General features: G+C 35.7%; 1 protein-coding gene across 9 annotated transcripts in view, besides 1 other annotated feature; it reads left to right on the forward strand.

Annotated features, from left to right (window-relative positions):
* ROBO2 (roundabout guidance receptor 2) overlaps window positions 1-23,687 on the forward strand; it is a 1,743,290-nt gene that overhangs the window by 149,339 nt on the left and 1,570,264 nt on the right. The window lies entirely within an intron of this gene.
* Window positions 13,955-14,812: an enhancer, noted in NCBI's record as "OCT4-NANOG hESC enhancer chr3:76119119-76119976 (GRCh37/hg19 assembly coordinates)". NCBI's record gives its function as "activates a minimal SCP1, AML or CMV promoter by ChIP-STARR-seq in primed H9 embryonic stem cells {active_cell/tissue: H9 hESC(primed)}" and the evidence as "EXISTENCE:reporter gene assay evidence [ECO:0000049][PMID:30033119]".

Consider the following 23,687-nt stretch of genomic DNA (forward strand, 5'->3'; position numbering starts at 1 on the left):
ACATCCTCTGGTTTTGCATCCATGGATTCAACCAAGTGCTGATTGAAAATAGTTGAGAAAATGAAAAACAAAAAAAGATAAAAATAATACAAATGAAAAACAATACAGTATAACAACTACATAGCATTCACATTGTATTAAGTATTATAACAACTCTGTAGATAATTTAAAGTATACGGGAGGATGCGCATAGACTATATACACATATGACACCATTTTATGTAAAGGACTTGAGTATCTGCAGATTCTGAGGAGGGTCCTAGAACCAGTGCCCCACAGGTACCAAGGGATGACTGTATTCAGACTGAAACAAAATATTCTTAAACAGAAATCATTAGCCCATAGAATATAGTTCTAATACTAACCCTGCTTATAAAACCTTTAAATTGCGTGATATTTTCTTTAAAAAATGGTGCGTTTTTAAAAGGCATGATCATGATGGTTGTATTTAATTTTAACTACATGTTCTAAAAGGGTCTCCAAAATAAAATTGAAGAAAAAAAACCCATTCACTTTTAAAATACTGAAGTTTTGTTGCCTGTTTATAGAGGAGTTTACAAAAAAAGAAAAAGAAAAGAAAAAGGTTCTTACATGTATCACTACACTGAAGCAATTGCCTTCAGAATACTTAGCATACACTTAAATTTGAGTCTTGTAACATTCTGAGGAACATTTATGATGGGAGGGTTGCAGATGTTTATGGTAATTTAAGGAGGTACAAATCTTAAACATACATCAGTAGATTATGAATTCACAAGTGGTGATTGGTAGCACTTTATAATCTGCAAATTGGTTTGCTAAAGTCTACCCTATAATAGAGGAAAGTGTAATGTCAGATGTAGTAAATTGCAATTTTTGGACATATGTTAATAGTATGCAGTTTCAATCCCTCATTAAAACAAAACAAAACAGCTAAAAGTTATGGTCCTTTTAAAAAAATGATTATGTTGTGTATGCCTGTGTGTGTATTTAAACTATGTTATTTACCTGAATATTCTGTCTACTTAACTTTGGATTTCCTCAAATTTTCTAAAGACCAGTTAGAAACAAAATGAGATCTTAAAATATTTTATCATGAGGATGTGGATTCCCTTCCTGTGTGTGTAATATTTTAACTTACTGTTATCTCTCACCTTCTAAGACCTTTTATTTATACGTGCTTCAATCTGATACTAGGCGTATGCGGGCTTATTCAAATATGTGCCACCCACAGCCTGCAGTGCCTGGGACATTGCTGGAGTTCCTTAAAGTCATTTAGACTCTCCATCCTTGGGTTTATACAACACGTTTGTTCCTTCAGTAATTCAATAAGTATGATCCTCAGTACCTCAGGAGGAACAAAGCTTCTTATGCTTAGAGATGTTAACATTTAGAATCTTCGGAAGGTTAGAAATACTTTAAAGGAGACAAGCATTCTCCTTAAAATGCTAGAATATTTCTATATTTACTTTATAAACATGTTCATGGTTGATAAATAAGTCAGTTTTGGGTCACAAAAAGGGGTTGTGCTGCACACTTCTGCATTCGGAATTATCCCCAACATAGTAAGCTTCCAGGGTGACATGTAGATGGAACTTTTTTAGAAATATATCAGTTTCTTGGGAAAGTGTTGTGGAGTAGAACAGATTTATAGAGCTGGAACCGTATTATACAGAGCTGTAGATCACTGCCGCCGACCAACAAGACCAGATTTTTTTTTCCTTTTTGCAAATATTCACCAAATGTCCTTTGTCTTATCTTTCCTTGTTGAAGTAACAATTCAATTGGTTTTTTTTTGTCTGAAAAATCAGACCATTCCCTGTTCTAAATCATTTTTCTTGATTTTTGTTCCTAATCTCATACCATAAACAAATGTTTTTGTTTAGCTGTGTTTGTCAGGAATGACAGATTTAACAGCAAAGCATAAATGTAGATAGGTAGTTAAAAATACAGTACAATAAATCACTGCCTTTACCGTGTGTTTGTGAAGGGTTATGATTATAAATGGAACATGAGTGAGGTAGAAAAAGAAATCCAATAATGTTATTTTAGGAGGATAGTGTTATAAGGTTCAGAATTGTACTCATTATAAAGAGCTTTTTGTTTTTTTTTTCCTTTTCTTAAACTATACTTTCAGTTCTGGGACACATGTGCAGAATGTGCAGGTTTGTTACGTAGGTATACACATGCCATGATGGTTTGCTGCACCCATCATCCTGTCACCTACATTAGGTATTGCTCCTAATACTGTCCCTCCCATAACCCCCTACCCTCCAACAGGCCCCAGTGTGTGATGTTCCCCTCCCTGTGTCCATGTGTTCTCATTGTTCAACTCCCACTTAGGAGTGAGAACATGCGGTGTTTGGTTTTCTGTAAAGAACATTTTTAAAAGGAAAACAGATACTATAGTTATTACTACTGAATGTTTTTAAAAGTTCTAATAAGTTCATATTTTAAATGTAATATTGCCTTTTGCATGAAGCACCTAGTGTATAGTTATAAAACTCATTGCGACCTAATTGATGAAATAGGTAGAGTGACGATTTCCACTTGATGAACGTTGCACATGAACTATCACACGTCGAAACAGCAGAAACTTTTTTTTTTTTTTTTTTTTTTTTTGCTATTTGGTATGCAAGATTGTTTCCTTGCCTTTTTTTTTAATTATTATTATACTTAAAGTTCTAGGATACATGTGCACAACGTGCAGGTTTGTTACATATGTATACATGTGCCATGCTGGTGTGCTGCACCCATTAACTCGTTGTTTGGCATTAGGTATATCTCCTAATGCTATCCCTCCCCCCTCCCCCCACCCCACAACAGGCCCCAGTGTGTGATGTTCCCCTTCCTGTGTCCATGTGTTCTCATTGTTCAATTCCCACCTATGAGTGAGAACATGTGGTGTTTGGTTTTTTGTCTTTGCGATAGTTTGCTGAGAATGATGGTTTCCAGCTTCACCCATGTCCCTACAAAGGACATGAACTCATCATTTTTTATGGCTGCATAGTATTCCATGGTGTATATGTGCCACATTTTCTTAATCCAGTCTATCATTGTTGGACATTTGGGTTGGTTCCAAGTCTTTGCTATTGTGAATAGTGCCGCAATAAACATACGTGTGCATGTGTCTTTATGGCAGCATGATTTATAATCCTTTGGGTATATACCCAGTAATGGGATGGCTGGGTCAAATGGTATTTCTAGTTCTAGATCCCTGAGGAATCGCCACACTGACTTCCACAATGGTTGAACTAGTTTACAGTCCCACCAACAGTGTAAAAGTGTTCCTATTTCTCCACATCCTCTCCAGCACCTGTTGTTTCCTGACTTTTGAATGATTGCCATTCTAACTGGTGTGAGATGGTATCTCATTGTGGTTTTGATTTGCATTTCTCTGATGACCAGTGATGATGAGCATTTTTTCATGTGTTTTCTGGCTGCATAAATGTCTTCTTTTGAGAAGTGTCTATTCATATACTTTGCCCACTTTTTGTTGGGGTTGTTTGTTTTTTTCTTGTAAATTTTTTGGAGTTTATTGTAGATTCTGGATATTAGCCCTTTGTCAGATGAGTAGGTAGCAAAAATTTTCTCCCATTCTGTAAGTTGCCTGTTCACTCTGATGGTAGTTTCTTTTGCTGGGCAGAAGCTCTTTAGTTTAATTAGATCCTATCTGTCAATTTTGGCTTTTGTTGCCATTGCTTTTGGTGTTTTAGACATGAAGTCCTTGCCCATGCCTATGTCCTGAATGGTATTGCCTAGGTTTTCTTCTAGGGTTTTTATGGTTTTAGGTCTAATATGTAAGTCTTTATCCATCTTGAATTAATTTTTGTATAAGGTGTGAGGAAAGGATCCAGTTTCAGCTTTCTACATATGGCTAGCCAGTTTTCCTAGCACCATTTATTAAATAGGGAATCCTTTCCCCATTTCTTGTTTTTGTCAGGTTTGTCAAAGATCAGATGGTTGTAGATGTGTGATGTTATTTGTGAGGGCTCTGTTCTGTTCCATTGGTCTATATCTCTGTTTTGGTACCAGAGAAACTCTTTTATATATTTTTAAGACATTATCATATCAAGGTACTTTGGTGTGATTTCCAACAGAATCAGCTAGAAAATGTTTTTTTTTTTAAAGACAATGTGATTTGAGTATTTGATTATCATCACTGACCATAACTATAAATCATTTCCATGCTCTTATAATCCAAAAACTACCTGTGGGAAAATTATTAGCAATCACATCTATGCTGAATGTTCATTCATATATAAATTAAAAAGCATTTTCACACAGAGACCTGATTTTTGTGTACATCAGAATAGAAAAAAACCTAATATGGGTATTGTATTAATAATCACATGTGGTGAAGGAGTGAATAAGTATGTCTGTGACCATAATCTTGAGTAATATCTTACCTTTTAGTAAACAATAAAACTCATCTGCCTTTGCAGCTCTCTAAGGTTTATAAAATTATACTAGAGTGAATTATTTTAATCAGCACAGGAAATTTTGGCTCCAGATCTTTTGTCTTCCGGGAAAACATTGGCTTCCACAAAAGGTGGTCATTTTGAAGGCTGGCAGCAATTTCTGGTTGATGACTGTCACTGAGGATTTCCATCCCTAACAATGGGAAGTATAAATATAATCTGACTGCTGTGGCTAATTTGGGTCCCTTTACAACTGTAAATAACTAGTCCAAGGTTTTTGCTTAAGGTGTCACACCAATGTTACAACTCTTGAATTTTTTCAAGTCAGGAATAGACATCTCCTTCTTACTGCTATGTGAAAGATAATTAATAGATCTTGTCTGTGACTCTTAACTTGGAAAACTGATTTGTTATGGGCAGAGAAATAACAGAGAATAAGAAATCTCAAACTTCGCCATCTCATGATCATCCCTGTTCCCACCGTGGAATTTGATTTAATGTTCTTCCACCTTGGACTCAGTCAGTGTTTCAATATTAGAAATTCTAGAAGCATGTTCTTGCTACAGTTTCACCCCAAGAACAAGATTATTGCAAAACTCCACTCGATTTCAGGATTTTATTTTCCCTGGTACGATTTGCAGCCACCTGGAAAATGCCATGTTTATTTATGTTATTCTTCTTTATAAAGATTGCAAAAAATCAATGTCAAGGTGACTTCACATGTGCAAATTCTCAGCAACAAGTTAGTTTCATGTCAAAGTTTAAGAAAAATGTAGTTATCATTCCTAAAACCAATTTTAGAGGCTGGAATTGTTTTGCTGAATAAATTCGGGTAAAGTGCATGCTTCCTTTGAACACCTGCATCCTGCATCTCATGGTCAGCAACCAAGTTAATAATTAGGAAATGCATCACATTTCAGCTGAGTTGTTTGAGCTCTCTGTGTTTAAGTACAGTCTCATTATTCAGATTGGGATTTTCTTTTTTTGGTAAGATGTATTTTTTACTTTTAAAGGAACCTGTAGTCATTGTTCATTCTGTAACTAAAGGTGGACACAGATATAAAATATTGCTTGCTTGTATTTTCTGTATTTGACCAGGAGTTATAAACAGAGTTGTTTGATAGTAGAGACGTGTTCTGTTGAAATTTGTGAAAAAAACATATTTTATCTAGATGAACCTGTTTACCAAATACTTTTTTGATATACAGCTGGAAGCACCAGAAATTTCCCTCCTGGAGAAAGTAAAGTCACACTTATTAATTGTATTAGTTCTATGCAGCTGCTGTAACAAATTACCTCTAATGGCTTGGTGGCTAAAACCCCACAGATCCATTATCTTATAATTATGTAGCCTAGAAATTCAACAAGGGTCTCAGTGGGCTCAAATCAAGGTATCAGCAGGACTGAATTCCTTTCTGGAGGCTCTAGACGGTCCATTTCCTTTCTTTTTCTGTCCGACAGGGGCCACCCGCATTCTTTGGCCTGTGGTCCCACAGCATCCTCAAAGCCAGCAACATTGTTCTCTCTGTTTCTTTCTTCCATAGTCACATCTCCCTCTGACTCTAGCTCTTCAGCTTCTCTTTCCCATTTTAAAGGACAATTCTGATGTCATTGGGCTTGCTAGGATGACTCCAGATAATCTACCTATTTTGAGGCCAACTGGCTAGCAACCTTAACTTTCCCTGTGCTATGTAACCTAACACATTCACAGGTTTACAGAGATTAGAATGCGGACATTCTTGGGGGATACGGCCTAGTTCTGCCTACCACAAAAATGGAGCCGACTTTTAAAACAATCTTTGAAAGGCATAACTGATTTTTGGGTGCAACAGTAAAATTTAAATATTAATAAGATAATCAAAACAGCACGTCTAAAATAATTTGTTTAAAAAGTTAACTTAAAAATTTCAGTTGAAACACAATTTTTTTTTTATCAGAAATCCTAGCAGTTATGTGCTGTCCGACTACTTCACTAATGTTATCCCCAAACAATTACAGGTGTAAGAGTCCCTATAGTTTTACAACATTAGCAAAACATTGTACCAGGTTTTGTCAGTCATAAAATGAGAAATTTCAAATCCAAGTTTCTCCCTCCTTCATTGATATGAAGTGAAGTCAATACTCAATCTTACCTGGCATTCTTCTTCTTACTTGGGATTAGCAACATATGCTTATATGAGGGTTATAGGCCTGTGTTCTAGATGCAAGGGAAATTGGGTTTGTGCTTTCATCTCAGAGAAGAATTCATAAGGTGAAATTTTCCCAGACACAGGCACAGTATTCAAAGAAGTGCAGATCAAAAAGCATGAACAGTGTTAGCTATAGGACTGTCAGAACATAATCGTTGCTTGACCCTAGCAAATCATAGCTTTGCTTTGTTTTTCCCCCAGATAATGCCTTCTAGACCACGAATTAACATGACTTTGGATGGTGAGAAAGCAGAGAAAGCATTTGGGGAGATTTCAAAATTGTTAAAATCATGTATGTTGGAGTTAATATAGGAGAAAATTATGCCTACTGATACTAATATTTGTCTATGTCATATTTAACAATCAGAGTTCATTTAAGTGATTTTCTATTCATAATTTAGAAATCAATTACTGTAAGTTCTTGATTAAGCTTATTAGATTCATTCATTCTAAAAGCCTGGTTACATTTTGTCACATATCAGCTCATTTAAACAACTGATACTCAAATACTTAACCTATGTTTATGCAAGGTAACACCAACTATAGTCTTTAAAGAGGGAATGAGTCACCGTATCTGGCAGCTATGCAAAAGTTTTGCATTGTTAATCATGAGCATAATGTAATGTGGCAGAGGGCATTGGGCCTTTTGAGTTACTGGGCGAAGTCTAAAAATAGCTACCATTCACTGAGTCCAGAGCATAGGCGTTGCTCTAAGAATTTTTTTTATGCTGCCCTCCTCCCTTTTTTTTTTTTTTTTTGAGACAGAGTCTCACTTTGTTGCCCAGGCTAGAGTGCAGTGGTGCAATGAGGGCTCATTGCAGCCTTGATTCCCTTTGGGCTCAAGCAATCCTCCCACCTCAGACCCCTGGGTAGCTGGGACTACAGGTGTTGCCACCACACATGACCAATTTTATTTTTTTTTTTGTAGAGATGAGACCTCACTCTGTGATCCAGGCTTGTCTTGAACTCCTGGCCTCAAGCTATCCTCCCATTTCGACCTCCCAAAGTGCTGGGATTACAGGCATAAGCCACTGTACCCAGCCTATGTTAACTTTTCTTTCTACCAAACTTTTGAGATAGGTGCTAAGCTTATTCATATACTGAGATATAACTTGACAAAGGTCACTCAGCAGACTTATGGCAGAGTAAAATCTCTGTACATCTGTTTTGTCTCCTGAGTACATGTGCTTTGTTTAATACCCTACCTTTAAGTGGAATTGGTGTGTGTGTGTGAATATAACTAAGCAAATTATACCACAAGAGTGATCCTCTTGTGATTATTTCTTGTTACATAAGCCTCCTTTATAGCAGACTGGAGAGTTCCCTCTAGCTTTAGAGAAGTAAGCTGCTATGTTTTGAGAGGGCCATATGGCTAGGATCTGAAGGTGGCCTCCAAGAGTTGAAAGCAACTCTCGTTGACAACCAGCAGAGAAACAGGGACGTTAGTCCTCTAACTGCAAGAAGCTGAATTCTGCCATCAATCAGCATGAGACTGGAAAAAGACCTCCAAGTTTCACGTGAGAATTGCAGACTGGTCGACACCTTGATTTTAGCCTCGTGAGACCCAGAGCAGAGGATCCAGTTGAGCCACACTCAGATTCCTGACCCATGGAAAATGAAATAATGCTCGTGTGTTGTGTTACGCTTCTAATTTTGTTGTAATCTGTTATGCAGCAGGGGGAAACTGACACATATTATGAAGGTTACACAGCTGATGAGGGGCTAAGTATTTTGCTGAGGAAGCTCGGCTGCAAATCCTCTGGCCTCTCCCATTATAGATGGTTGCCTTCAAATTCGAGGAGTCAGCAGTGAACCAGTCCAGGGAACTAGCATAACCCTCATCCTCTGGGCCAAGCTACTAGGTAGTTCCACTCTCATTAGAGAATTATGGTTTGGTCCTCTGATGACCAAATTTAAAGGCAAATTATCGGTGATTTGAAATCTTTCTGAATACTAATATATGATTAGCTCTCTAACAATCCTTAAAAAGAAAGATTTTTCTAATAATTACTTTTATTCCTTTAGCAAATATAGGTACATCTGAATCAGGTCTTTTAATTTTAAACTGATTTTCTTTTAATGCAAAATAAAAATTGGGGGCCTGAAAAAATACATACAATGTAGAAGCACAATAGAGCTAAGATATTTTAGGAAGTGTCTATTCAGGGCAACTTGAATCTATGCTCCTGGAAATAACATTTTAAAAATAAAAAAGAGAACTAAATATTTTAAAAGGTGTATGGCCTAATAATACCTATCTTTTCAAATTTTATTTCAAATGTGCCGTGCTGCCATAAAAGAAAGGTATGATTTTTTTTCTTTGTTTGTTTGTACTTGACTTCTATATCTTTATCACAGGAGTATAACAAAGATTATATGTATAGTCATTAATCAATTTGCATTCCAGATTGTTGTTATATTGAGTCCATATATAAGGAAATAGATAAGTTGAAACAACTTAAAGAAATGAAGCAAAAGTGGTTAAAAAATATAATAGCATAAAAATTATTGTAAGAAACGAAAAATTTGGAGCCCATAAAGATTTCATTAATGTAGTGATAGACACAGGGTCCGTATCTCTCCGTTGTCAGAGTTAACTAGATTTCCTCCCAAAAATGCTTTAAACAATCATTGTGGTTGCTTGTCCTACAATTATAGAATATGTTTATCTTTGCTTAATTGTAAAGTAGCAATTAGTGCTTATTATCAGGATATTTTAAATAACGTGTGAGAACAATTTACAATCTCAAGGAAGATGACTACAAAGCAGCTTTTAAAAAACTGTGTATATGATTCAAAAATCATTTGTAAAGACAACAATCGTGTTGTGTTGAATAATTACTTCCAAATCGATACCAAAGATTGTTGGCCACTAATTAACTGTATTTTGCACTGTAAGAAACAAAATCTTTGGCAAATTCTGTCTGTAAAAGCATCAGAAACCTAAAAAGCCTCTACTTAGAAAATAAAATTTCCCTTATAATAACCTTTCCTCCAAAGGGGTATATTTTTATCATGTTAGGGAAGAAGTAAAAATTATCTGACAAAGTAAAATTTTAAATGCATAAAAATACAGCCTGATATGGGTTTTCATATACCAATTTTTAAACTAAATATATGCATATTTAAACTAAATATATATATATATATACACACACACACACACACATATATGCTGCCATTTGAACTTTTACTTAGACATGTTGATTCAGTGAAGTGGTTATTCTGAATTTTGTCTGAAATATTTTAGACTAACTATTTAAAGAATAGTCCCTATATTGAAAAATTGTTCATCCCATGGCAGTGCAGATGATAATCTTTCTCTACTCCTGTATTATTCCCTGCTCACAACAGCTGCTCTTAATTGAACCCTAAGTACAATTTAGGATTGTTTTCTTTTGCTTTGTGTTCCAAGAATTCTCACTTTAAATCCATCTAAGGTTACAACAGCCTCTGTAGAGAGCACAATTTATCATGTAGCTTTTATACAAATGTGACATGATCTCATTATATTTCTGCCAATGGATTTTATCACTTTAATAATCCTCTGCAATATTTATAGAATGTCATGATGAATCATATTATATTTATCATATCACACAATAAATAGCATGACATGCTAATAACTCACTCCATTTTGGAGAGTGTTGAAATTATTCTTTGTAAGCTTGCATCAGAATGATTAGTCAGCATCCAGTCTCTTCATCAAATCTGTAGTCTTACACCAATTTATAACTTAGAATGGATAATGCAAATGAATACTCAAAATTATTTAATTATTTGCTAATTAATATTTTATATAAGTTAACCTCTTTAGTTGTACAAAATATTAAATTATGAAACCAAATATTTTTTATAATGAACCATTTTCTTAAGAATAATACCATAGACATAAGACTAATAAGTTTTTGCAAAAACAGACGTTTATTGAACATTTTTCAAATTAGCAAGAATAAATTTAAGAGAAAACTTTATTTTAAGGATATTAGAATCCACAGAGAAGAAAGGAATAGAGAAATATGATGTAGTCTGCCAATTTTATATGTGAATAAACAGGCTCACCTATGTTAAGGAATGCAATCAGTTAGACTGACAAAGAAATGAAATTAGAAATTAGGTTTTCAGACATTTATCTTAGTGTTACTTTATAGTAAGTTCTTTTCTGTTCTCTTTAAAATTTCATGTTTATTAAGTTTTAAGAATTTAAGAAATAATATTTTATATAAATATTAAAAGATAATTAAACTGATAGATATAATCAATCAAGTTAGTTTAGATTGCATCAGAATCTTTTGGAATCTGGCTGTTATCTTCTTGACTGCGTGTTTGAAGGCAGCAATTTCTTTTCAATTGTCTTTTTGCTTTAATGTGAATTCTTGATTAGCTCTTTCGAAACAAAGACACTTTCCATGGACAAATACGAGTCTCCAGCTCAATGACTGTAGGGTTCCTGAGGTTGTATGGCTGACCTAGGAAGCCCAAGGCAATAGCTGAGCAAAGTGGTTCAGGCTGTGAATTCTGGAGTCGGCTTTTTTGGTTTGAATCCCAGATTTGACACAAATCAGAAATGTGATCACAGGCCAGTTATCTGATTTTTCTAAGCCCCAGTTCCCTTCTGTTAAAAATGGGGATAATAAAGAATACAACACAGCTCACATCTGTTGTATGATTAATTATTGTATATCAAGATCAAAGGAGGACAATATCTGCATAATAATCATCAACAAATAACAGCTATTGTGTATACTAGTAACAGGGACTAAGAGGAAACTTTTTGAACAAATGTTTGGAAAACATGGTAGAGATTGGCAACCAAATTTAGTCAAATAGTTTACAGAATTCCTGTGATTCACTGCTTTTCTTTGCAATAGAATATACCAGAGCCTTGGAATTGTTTAAAAAAAAAACTATTGTTTACCTGAAGAGCCATAAATATATCAGGCTCCATACAATTAAGTAGAAAAGGAATCTCTTTTTTATATTATTCTTATCCTGTAGCATTTATCTGTACTTGGTGTCATATCAGAAACATTTCCGAGAGGGCCTGGTTTCTTCCAATTACGAAGTAGGAAATGTATTTTTTTTGTAAACTTTCACCAATGCTCTAGTTACCAATATGAGAAATCTCATTGAAAACTACAATACCCTCTAGTGTATGTGATTGCATATTGTTTAAACATTAATGTTGCTTTAGGATTTTTATGCAAAGCAGTAAAAATTTGAGGTTAAGCCCTAAAATATCATTTCTTCATTTATCTGGCAAACTTACTGAGCATGTAATATGTGATAGATAGTAATTTAGCTGCTGGATATATAGCAGTGAACAACGGGCGAAAATTTGTGTTCTCTTAAAATCTATTATTTAGAGGGGTAAGACAATTATCAAAGAAAATATTTAAAACTCTTAATATGTCATGTATTGGTAAGTGCTAAGGAGAAGAAATACACATGGAGGGTGGACGGTTACAAGGTCAGGAAAGACTTCATTAAGCAGGTGAAATGTGAGCAAAGACGCAAAGGAACAGAGAAGACAAGCCATGCAGGATAGCCTAGTTGTTAAGAGTACAGACTTTGCAGGTAGAGAGGCCTGCAGGTGTCTGGTGTGTTTGAGGGAGGGTAAGGAGCTCTGTCTGACTGGGCTGTAGTCAGCTGAAGGACAGTGAGAGCAGAAGGAGACAGTGGGGTAATGGAGCCAAATTACATAGTTCCTTGTAGGCCTCTGTAACATCTCAGGCTTTTACTTTGAATGAGATGGAAAGCCACTGAAGACTTTTTATCCAGCCATACCTTATGATCTGGCTTAATACGAGAAAATATCACTGTGGGTGCTATGGAGAAGGTGCCCTAAGAGGCCACAGTGTGTTCATAGGAAATGCTAAGCCTTCTACCTGTGTGCCAGACCCTATCGCCTCTCAATTAATGCAGGAACATTATTCCACCAACTTTTCCCTTTCTTCTGTATCATCAATTCTCCTCTTGCTAATTAATCATATTCTTCATATGCAAACATGCTACAATTATTCTTATTTTAAAATACCTTTCCATATTCTACAAATCTCTCAAGATACTGCCTCCTTTCTCTGATCCTGAGAGCAAAACTCCATGCATCCATTGTACCCAAATGCTTTCATCTTGGTTTTTAAAGATTCCACCCCAATCTGCCTTCTCCTTTTCTACTTTCCAAAATTTGTTGTTGCCAAGGCCAACATTGATCTCCATATTCTTCAACTTTTAGTCCTTTTCACAGAATTTGACATAGGTAATCATTGACTTCTCCTTAAAACATATTTGTCACTTGGGTTCCAGGACACAATATTGTCAATTCTGTTTACCTTATTAGCTGCTGCTTCCTAGGTTGCTTCGTTGACCACCATCTTCCTGATTTCTCAATTACAGCACAGAAGGGATGATTCTGGCATTTATTTCCTCTATTTAAATGCATTTTCTTTTTATCTCAGATGGTGTCATGCTTTAACTCCTATGCCTATACTGCCAATTTTCAAGTTTTTAATCCCCAGCCTTCATTGTGCTGTAGAACTCTGGAATTGTACATTGAGCCACCTAGTTGATATTACTTCTTGAAATCTAATAAGTAACTCAAGGTTATTATTTGCAAAATTGACTTTCTGATTTTCTCCCTAAACCTGGTTCTCCTGCAAGTTGGCCAGCTCAATAAATGATAATTTTATTCTTCGATTATTTAAACCAAACTCTATGAAGTTATCCTTACCTGTTATTTCTATTTTTCCCAGATTCAATCCATCAGGAAATCCTGCAAGTCTGCTTTTAAATTGAATACCAGTTGAAGTAATTTACACTGACACTACACTGGTATAATCCACCATCAGCTCTCAATGGAATATTGCCTTAGTTTCCTATTTGCATCTAGAGCTGATGAAGCCAGACAGCAGGCTTATTGCTAGTTTTTTTTTTTTTCCTGAAAGAAATAAATTATTGTAATTTGGTGGGTCTTAAATAACTGACTTAGAAATTATGTAATCTCATTAAAAATACCTACACTTTTTTTTTAATGAAAATTAGAAACATCCTAAACTGTATTTAGTAAAGTCTTGACAAGTTCTTTCTGTGTGAGTTTTAATGGTGAACTCTTGCTCAAGAACAAAGAACACGTTCAGACACGTTAGCTAAGGGAAAGTCTAAGCTAAACTCAGAGAGAAGAGGTGTTGCGGGAAGTCAGGGACCCTGAACGAAGGGACCGGCTGAAGCCATGGTAGAAGAACGTGGATTGTGAAGATTTTATGGACATTTATTGGTTCCCCAAATTAATACTTTTGTAATTTCTTATGCCTGTCTTTACTGCAATCTCTAAACATAAGTTGTGAAGATTTCACGGACACTTATCACTTCCCCAATCAATACCCTTGTGATTTCCTATGCCTGTCTTTACTTTAATCTCTTAATCCTGTCAGATGAGGAGGATGTATGTCGCCTCAGGACCAAGTGATAATTGCATTAACTGCACAAATTATAGAGCATGTGTGTTTAAGCAATATGAAATCTGGGTACCTTGAAAAAAGAACAAGGCGACAGCAGTGTTTAGGAAACAACAGAGATAACCTTAAACTCTGACCGCTGGTGAGCCGGGCGGAACAGAGCCATATTTCTCTTCTTTCAAAAGCAAATGGGAGAAATATCACTGAATTCTTTTTCTCAGCATGGAACATCCTTGAGAAAGAGTATGCGCACCTGGGGTTGGGTCTCTGAACTGGCCCCGCTGGGCGTGGTCATCTCTTATGTTCGACATTGCAGAGATGAAATGGACTCCAGTCTCCCATAGCGCTCCCAGGCTTATTAGGAAGAGGAAATTCCCACCTAATAATTTTGGTCATACCGGTTGATCTCAAAACCTGTCTTCTGATAAGATGTTATCAATGACAATGGTGCCCGAAACTTCATTAGCAATTTTAATTTCGCCCCTGTCCTGTGGTCCTGTGATCTCACCCTGCCTCCATTTGCCTTGTGATATTCTATTACCTTGTAAAGTACTTGATGTCTGTCACCCACACCTATTCGCACACTCCCTCCCCTTTTGAAAATCTCTAATAAAAACTTGCTGGTTTTTGTGGCTTGTTTTAAAGCTGGGCATCATGGAACCTACTGACATGTGATGTCTCCCCCAGACGCCCAGCTTTAAAATTTCTCTCTTTCATACTCTGTCCCTTTATTTCTCAAGCCGGCCGGCACTTAGGGAAAATAGAAAAGAACCTACGGAATATCAGGGCAGATTCCCCAATAAAGAGGGCTATTGCTTTATTTGAATTTGCGATTCTTTGAGAGTCTTAATGTCACGAAAACAAGTGTAAAAAGAAACCATACAAATATCTCATTAGCCATCTAGTTTTTAATATACTGTCTAACCAAGGGTTGCATTTCTTGAGTCAAAGGTAGCATTTTATGATTCATAATTTCTACCATCGTGAAAATTTTAAATTTGGTCATAAGATTTGATTGGTTCTCCTTCATAATTGCAATTTCAGGGCCTGTAGTTTGTCTGGGTTGATAATTATCCAGATGAATGATTTATCCATTTAGATAAACATCAACTGGTTCTAATAATTTGTGATTACTGTTTATGTCAGGTTGCTTAATCATAAATGCTTTCTTGAGATCTCCTCTTTGTCAAAACTGTTCTTTGGATTCCCACAAAACACTTTTGGAGTTAGAATTTTCCCCATCATTTCTAAAGATAAATGGAAGAACTCAGAAATTAATTTGACCTCTTTGCTGCCTTGCCATCCTACTTAATTACTACAGAGTTAACTATAAAAGCTATTATCTCATCAGTAACTATCTAATTTATAATATCCTATATTAAGTATAAAATGTTATGAACTGGTTGGGTTATCTGGCTTTATGTTACATAATTACCCATTCAAATTTTTATTTCAACCCGGTTTATGTGCTTTGCAACATTTAGGATATATTCGTATCTTTAGGTATTTCTTGTTTTAGTAGAGACTGATGTTCTTTAAATACAAGCTTTTACTTTGATTTCTGTGAGCATTGTGAGCAATTTGCTCATTTTCTAATTGGACTTTTTCAGGTCATAGAAAAATTAAGGAATGATATTGTCATTTAAATTCACTAAGAGAATTGGAAAACACCAGTAGTGATTTACAAGTTAAGGAAAGTAAACAAATACTTTAAAAATATATATTTTTTAATGATTATAATCTTATTATTATTAATTAAAAGCTGATTTTTAAGAATGGAAACAAATGTAGATTTGTAGATTCTTAATGTCAAGCTAACACCTCTTTCTGGTAGTTTAATTTACTTTGGTTCACTTTCTTCTTCATGTAACAGTAAAAACTGTTTTGTGGAACACACTTCAATACCAAAAAAAGCTTGTTAATAGTTGTTCTACAGTATATATTCTCAAATCCATGTTATACCACATCTTTTCATACTTTGTATGTCAGTGGTTTAGGACATAAAAAAATGATGTTTCTCAAAACACTTGTCATTTTTTCACACATACTGTGTTCTAGCATTCTAGAAGTGTTTTGGTAGATTTAAAGATTGGTTTGCTCTGTCACACTACAATCTAACAAAGTTTTCCTTGGCTTTTAAATCTAATCTCCGAGGCTGGATAGTAGACTTTCTTTCCCCCGCAAAAAAAAATCTTTGTTGGTTTTTTTTTCCTTGAGGCATATCAAATTCTTATTTCCTTTAGGATATAAAGAAATAGAGATTCAAAACATTGTGTCGAAACTTTTTCATATTTTACCTGCTATTTTGTGGAGAAATGTTTCAAAAAGTAGCCAATGCTATATATTTCTTAGTTGTATTTTATTTTTACTTCATATTATGTTGAATATAAAATAAAACTTGAGAGATGCATTTACCAGTTTATCCAATAAGGCCTTTTCTTTATATATACTCCTAGATAAATTTTAGCAGAAAAGTCAGAAACTTATACTAAATTAAAGCTTAGTTTTTTTGTTTTTTTGTTTTTAAGACCTACAAACTCCTCTTGTATCAGCACACTTCATATTATGGCTTAAGCTGTTATCAGAAATAGTATTTCTTAATATCATATATTATTCTTTAAAGTGCAACAATTTAATACAACCATATTTATTAAGATCCTCACAGATCAAGAGCTGAGGGTGTTTATTAATGAAACATAAGAGATGACAGACATAGGGCCAATGGCCTCAAGCGATGTTCACGAAACCCCAGTGCAGGAATGTAGGCAGGCCTCAGAGGCAGTAAAGTTGTACTAAGAAGTACAAAGTTGACAGTTGTTTCTCTGCCTATTCAGACCTCTGTTTCCTCATTTGTCAAATGAAATCAATAATAGAAAGTACCTCCCAGGACAAATGATGTGATGGATATAAAGCATTCTTACACTTTGGCACATAATAATTTTTCAGTGTTCCACAAGAAACCTTTATTTTGTTTTATTTTATTTTGTCCCTATTCTTTCCCCAGTCACTTGAAATGTTGGAATGAAGGTGAGTAGTCTGATCTGCTTACTGCTCTTGTATCGTGGCTGAAATTTGTAGGGGAGGCTGCTCTCCATAATTAAGTCTAGTATCATTATTTTATATGTGTGCCTTTAATATTTTTAAAACATTTAATTTCTTTAAACACTTAATTAAGCCTAACTGATTTGTAAACTTCTCAGAATGAGTATTCTTTTTTTTTTTTTTTTTTTTTTTTTTTTTTTTTTTTTTTTTTTTGAGACGGAGTCTCGCTCTGTCACCCAGGCTGGAGTGCAGGGGCGCGATCTGGGCTCACTGCAAGCTCCCCTCCTGGGTTCCCGCCATTCTCCTGCCTCAGCCTCCGGAGTAGCTGGGACTACAGGCGCCGCCCCCACGCCCGGCTAATTTTTTGTATTTTTAGTAGAGACGGGGTTTCACCTTGTTAGCCAGGATGGTCTCGATCTCCTGACCTCGTGATCCACCCGCCTCAGCCTCCCAAAGTGCTGGGATTACAGGTGTGAGCTACCGCGCCCGGCAGAGTATTCTTCTTAAAATGTTAAATTAATAAGAAAATTAAGCACAATATAAGGAAGACAGTTACATAAAAACTGAACAATACGTTAAATTGGAGTGTAGTCAAAGGCACTTGGGACGCTAGAGCTGTTATAAGTGAGCTTTGAATTTATGTCAAGAGTCCTGGTAGATAGAAAATTAAGAGTCTTTGTATCTTACCATCTTATAAAATAAGTTATACAGGTTCAACTAGAGAGATAAGCAGTGTCCTGACAAATGTGAACAAGGGTTCCCTTTTAAAAACCTTTCTAGTAAAGGCACTGCCTTGAGCTTGCCCTCCAATATGGTGTCTCTGTGGGGCCCGTGTGGAAATGTGAAGCTGAGGCTCCAGGTCCATGAAGGTCATTTCTCACTCTTCAGTTTCATCAGATAATATGGCGTCTCTGTGGCACCTGTGTGGAAATGTGAAGCTGAGGCTCCAGGTCCATGAAGGTCATTTCTCACTCTTCAGTTTCATCAGATAATATGGCATCTCTGTGGCGCCTGTGTGGAAATGTGAAGCTGAGGCTCCAGGTCCATGAAGGTCATTTCTCACCCTTCAGTTTCATCAGATAATATGGCATCTCTGTGGCGCCTGTGTGGAAATGTGAAGCTGAGGCTCAGAGTCCATGAAGGTCATTTTCACGCTTCAGTTTCAGCAGATAATATGGCAGGGGTTAGGAGAAGCTACACCCAGTCTCAACATTTCAACTCTGCTTCAATGAGAAAGGAAATAAGCCAAGGAAAACGCCTTACTTCATTAAGGCAGGGCAAGAGAGAAGAAGAGCACCATGGTTTGCTCATGATGTAAAAATATTCAGCCAGACGACCAACAAGTGAATGTGGCCCGATTAATTGGTAATGTGTAATCAGATTAGAATTTCTTCCCTTCTTAGAGGAGTAAGAAATGGGTAAAGAGATGGACAGAGGTGCCAAAACATATCTTCTTTCTTAATATCTCATCAGGAAAAGTAGTTGATTATGAGTAAAAAGAAAGGAATTAAATGAAGTTAAACTAATATTAAGTGAGATGGATCCATATGTTAGGTTAAATACTTGCCATTAATCTGGAGGAATTAATATAAAGTAAAATATAAGACTGTTCATAGTAAAATAGTCAATAAAATGAATATAAAGGCAGATAGCCCACATATGCTAGTTTTTTAATGAAAAAAGAAAGTTCTGTTTCAGATATGGCCCTTCAAAGTATATGTAAAGAAGACACAACATAAATTGATCAAAAAATGGTAAAGTAACGTGTCAGATTACTTTTAAAAAATGTTCCTTTAAGCAACAGTTAATGAAATGATGGTAGTTGTATATAAAGAAAGAAATATGTGACAATAGGGTTTTTCATATTCACTAGAAACATACTTGGGGGATGAGACCTAATCCATTAGGAATGAATACGAACAGAAATGGAAGACATTCAGACACAAGTGATAATTTGTGAGATACGAGCTTGATCGTATTTATCCTGCTGAGTTCTTTGTTGAAACGACATTGCTTCCCTGCATGATCTTCCCGCAGCCTGTTTGAATTGTCCTCTGCTTGTGTGGAGCCCTGTCACCCATGCTTTCTGTGCCAGGGCCACCTTGTGATGGCTCATCCAGTATCTACTATCCACTATACAGTAACTTCCAAGGCTGAGAGTGGCCAGGGGAGGATGAACGATTGTGTCCTTATTACCAGGAAAGCAAGGTACACTGGTAATAGCTACAGCCTGAATGTGACAGAATGCAGAGTAGAGAATCTCTGACATCTTTCCACATCTGGGAGTTTCTGTACGCTCTTCCTCTGTCTTTGCCTCCTGTCTGGAGTTAAATGAGGGATATTTTTAAAAATGTTCTCCTGAAGACTTTTCCTATTTTTTTTTTTTGCTAGGGTTCCTGTTTTCCATATAACAAGTGTCAAAAAGCATAGATGTGCTATTTGCAAAACTAATTTAAAATTTCTTAGATTGAATTAAATGTAACATTTTACACAATGTAATGCCTTTTTAAACCAGGTATCACTCCATTCAAATCAGTGATTCGCTGTAGTATCCCAATAGCGTAGACAAACAAATGAGCATCTAAAATCTGATGACATCTCTTCCTTAATGGCTCCCATGAGTCAATAGAAAGAGCAAAACAGAAGGAAAAGCAACATCTATAAAGGCCACGTTAGTGCCAGGAAATTTGTATCCAACATTATATTCAAGCCTGTCAATAACACTATGAGGCAATTGTCTCGTACTTACTTACAGAGCAGATAATAAAACAGGATCAGGAAGATACAGTAACTTGTCCTAGCTCTAAGCAACTAATTGATGAAAAAGTTTGGATTCAAATTCAGAGCTGTCCAATTCCATATTCTGTACTAATTCCAAATTCTTTATTACTTAAGACATTATTTTAGCAAATAGCTCAATGAAAACTTTTCACAGAGCAAAATGGTTATTGCATTAATGCTCACATGTACATTTGACCAATAATATGTTGTCCTTTTATGTGACTGTAATTGTACTCACATTGAAATGTTTTTCCAATGTTGGTTATAGGTGGGGTTTGAATGTCGTTTACTCTCCTGCACCTCCCTTTGAGATCAATTGCATCCATTTGCTGGATGGTTCACTTAGGTTATGTAAATCTATAACCATGTATCAGAGTTTTTTTGGTCTGAATTGCTATCTCTAAATAAGTAACCCAGAAGAAAATTGCAATGGCCTTTCACCAGCACAACTGTTTTAGTCTTAAGACATCAGCAAATATATCCTCTGTTTCAGTGACCGATGAAAGGCCATATTAACTCACAGTTGGCTATGGCTGGCATTTTAGCATAATATAAAAAATGGAAATCATAAAGAATCCTATGGACATTTTATACTATAGACATTATTTTTATAGAGGGTGGAGGTGCTTCATTTATGCATTCTAAGGAACAAAATTTAGCTAGTAATTAACAGTATTTAACCTGCGTAAAGTCTTTTATGCAAGCTATAAAATTAATTTTATTATAGAAATTGCATTACACTTAACAGCTGATGACCTATCTTACCACAGTAATGTATTTTTCATTAAAATGAAACATTGTGTTTCAGAAGCAGGAGCCAGGAATCAGGGCTTGAATTGGAAACTGCCACATGTGTTATATAGAAGTGCTGTCTTCCAAAAGAGCATATAACCTGACATTTCTCTGTTTATTACCGCATCAAGATGAGCAGATTTAAACTCTAATTAAAGAGATGCCATACATTGTCTTTTTACAACTTGGGTGACTTTAACTGTTGTACTGTCGAACTAGCCCTGGTAAATTATAACTGTTGTTTTGGTCTTTTATGTAAGCTCAGACGTCTAGGTTGGATTTATCCTGAAGTTGGAGTATTGGCCAGTATTTTTCTGTTTAATTCGGGCTCTACTTCTCTACTGCAACATTTTACTCCCTGGTAGTGCAAAGTGAATTTTGTTTGTTTTTATTTTAGTTGTTGTTGATTATCCCCAAAAACATAATTTTCACTCGTACACAATAAATGCAGTATGAATGGCAACTTCAATAATTAATTGAGTCCATGAATGGAGTGATTATATTTTAAACATTTCCCATAATGTGTAGAAAAGCAAAACAGTGTGCAACTAGGGATTGGGGAATTTGGAAATCTTACATAAATTTCATAATGTTTTAAAATCTTAATGAGGCCGGGTGAAGTGGCTCATGCCTGTAATCTCAGCACTTTTAGAGGCCGAGGTGGGTGGATCACTTGAGGTCAGGAGTTCGAGACCAGCCTGGCCAACATGGTGAAACCCCGTCTCTACTAAAAATACAAAAATTAGCCGTGTGTGGTGGCAGGCACCTGTAGTCCCAGGTACTCAGGAGGCTGAGGCAGGAGAATTGCTTGAACTCTGGAGATGGAGGTTGCAGTGAACCAAGATCGTGCCACTGCACTCCAACCTGGGTGACAAAGCGAGACTTCATCTCAAAATAATATTAACAATAATAATAATAATAAAATCATAATGAATTTTCAATATAAAGATTCTTCTTGACTTGAGCAACATTTTTCCTACTATTATTTAAAAAAAGAAGTAATATACAAATGGCTAAGGAGGAAACACATGTGGGTATGAAAAATTAAAATTTTAAGAAACTTTAGATGTAAAGACAAAAATGGATAAACATTAAAATACATTAGATTTTGAGTTGCAATGGAAAAGTAGGAAAAAAGTGGAAAGAATCAGCAAAGTGAGTTGGAAGATCAAAGAATTGATTTAAGGAGACTGTTCAAATTCTAAGACAAACACTAGTTGCCAACTTCCATTGATAACCATTCCCCCTTTTGCCACCAAAATAAAACAGAAGAGCATAATTTCCTCATTTCTTAGAATGAACCTGCAGTGCAAATTTACTGCTAACAACCCTGCTTTCCACTCCCTCTCTTCTTTCCAGAGAACTGCTTAATTTTTCAAAATTTCACAATACTGGAATATATTCTTCCCTTAGTGGCAATTAGAAAAGAGTGGAAAATCAATGCAACATTCATATGATAGAGTTTGGTAGCTAGAGGATCATAACAACCTGTGTTTTCATTATTGGTTGTGAGGTAGGTCATATTTTTTGTTAATGTTTCTGAGTTGATATTCTTAAGTTGTTCTATGACTTAACCTATAACATTTTTTCATAGAAACAGATTCGGATGTATTTGGAGAGTCTGAATCTGAGTCATCTTTTGCACAACTCAGTCCTAGTGTTGGATTTAGCAGTAAGCGATTTATTTATTTATGTATTTATTTATTTTTAAAGACAGGGTCTTGTCCTGTCATCCCCAGGCTGGAGTGCAATAGCATGATCATAGTTCACTGCAGCCTTGACCTCCTAGGCTCAAGCAATCCTCCTGCCTCAGCTTCCCAAGTAGCTAGGACTACAGACACACACCACCTTGCTCAGCTAATTTTCATCCTTTTGTAGAGACAGGGTGTCCCTATGTTGCCCAGGCTGGTCTCAAACTCCTGAACTCAAGAGATCCTCCTTCCTTGGCCTGCTAAAGTGCTGGGATTATAGGTGTGAGCCACCATGCACGGCCTCAGTAATAAGCTTTTAAAGAACAATATCAAATTGTTCAATATCTTAACTAATGTAACACAATATTTTAAAAATTAGAAAAAAAAAGCTTGCCATATGTAATTGGAGTAGATAATATATAATAAAATAACTTCAATTTTTAGTTTTTTGAGGGACCTCCATGGTTTTACTAATTTACATTTCTACTAACAGTGTACAAGTGTCCCCCTTTCTCCACATTCTCATCAACATTCATTGTTGCCTGTGTTTTATTTTTTGATAAAACCATTTTAATTGGGGTGAGATAATAGCTCATTGTAGTCTTGATTTGCATTTCTCTGATGATTAGTGATGTTGAGCACATGGACGGAACTGGAAGACATCATGTTAAGTGAAATGAGCTAGGCACAGAATGACCAATATCTCATGTTTTCACTCATATGTGGGAGCTAAAAAAATTGATCTTATAGATATAGGAAAACAATGGTTATAATAAACTGGGAAGGGTAGTGAAGAAACAAGTTTTAAGAGGGATTGGTTAATGAGTACAAATATGGTTAGATGAAAGTAATAAAATCAGTGTTCATTATCACAATAAGGTAACCATAGGTAACAATCATTTATTGCGTATTTCAAAATAACTAGAAGAGTGAAGTTGGAATGTTCCTAACACAATGAAATAATAAGTGCTTGAGGTGATGAATATCCCAATAACCCTCATTTGATCATTAAACATTGTATGTGTGTATCAAAATATCACATGTATTCCTATAAATATGTGCAATTATTACGTATCATTAAACATTGAAAATTTATTTATTTATTTATTATTATTATTAGTTTTTTTTTTTTTTTGGTGGAGACAGAGTCTCGCTCTGTCGCCCAAGCTGGAGTGCAGTGGCACAATCTCAGCTCACTGCAACCTCCGCCTCCCGGGTTCAAGCAATTCTCCCACCTCAGCCTCCCGAGTAGCTGGGATTAGAGGCGCATGCCGCCACACCCGGCTAATTTCTTTTGTATTTTAGTAAAGATGGGGTTTCACCGTGTTGCCCAGGCTG

The sequence above is a fragment of the Homo sapiens genome, chromosome 3, assembly GCF_000001405.40.
Source record: "Homo sapiens chromosome 3, GRCh38.p14 Primary Assembly".
NCBI lineage: Eukaryota > Metazoa > Chordata > Mammalia > Primates > Hominidae > Homo > Homo sapiens.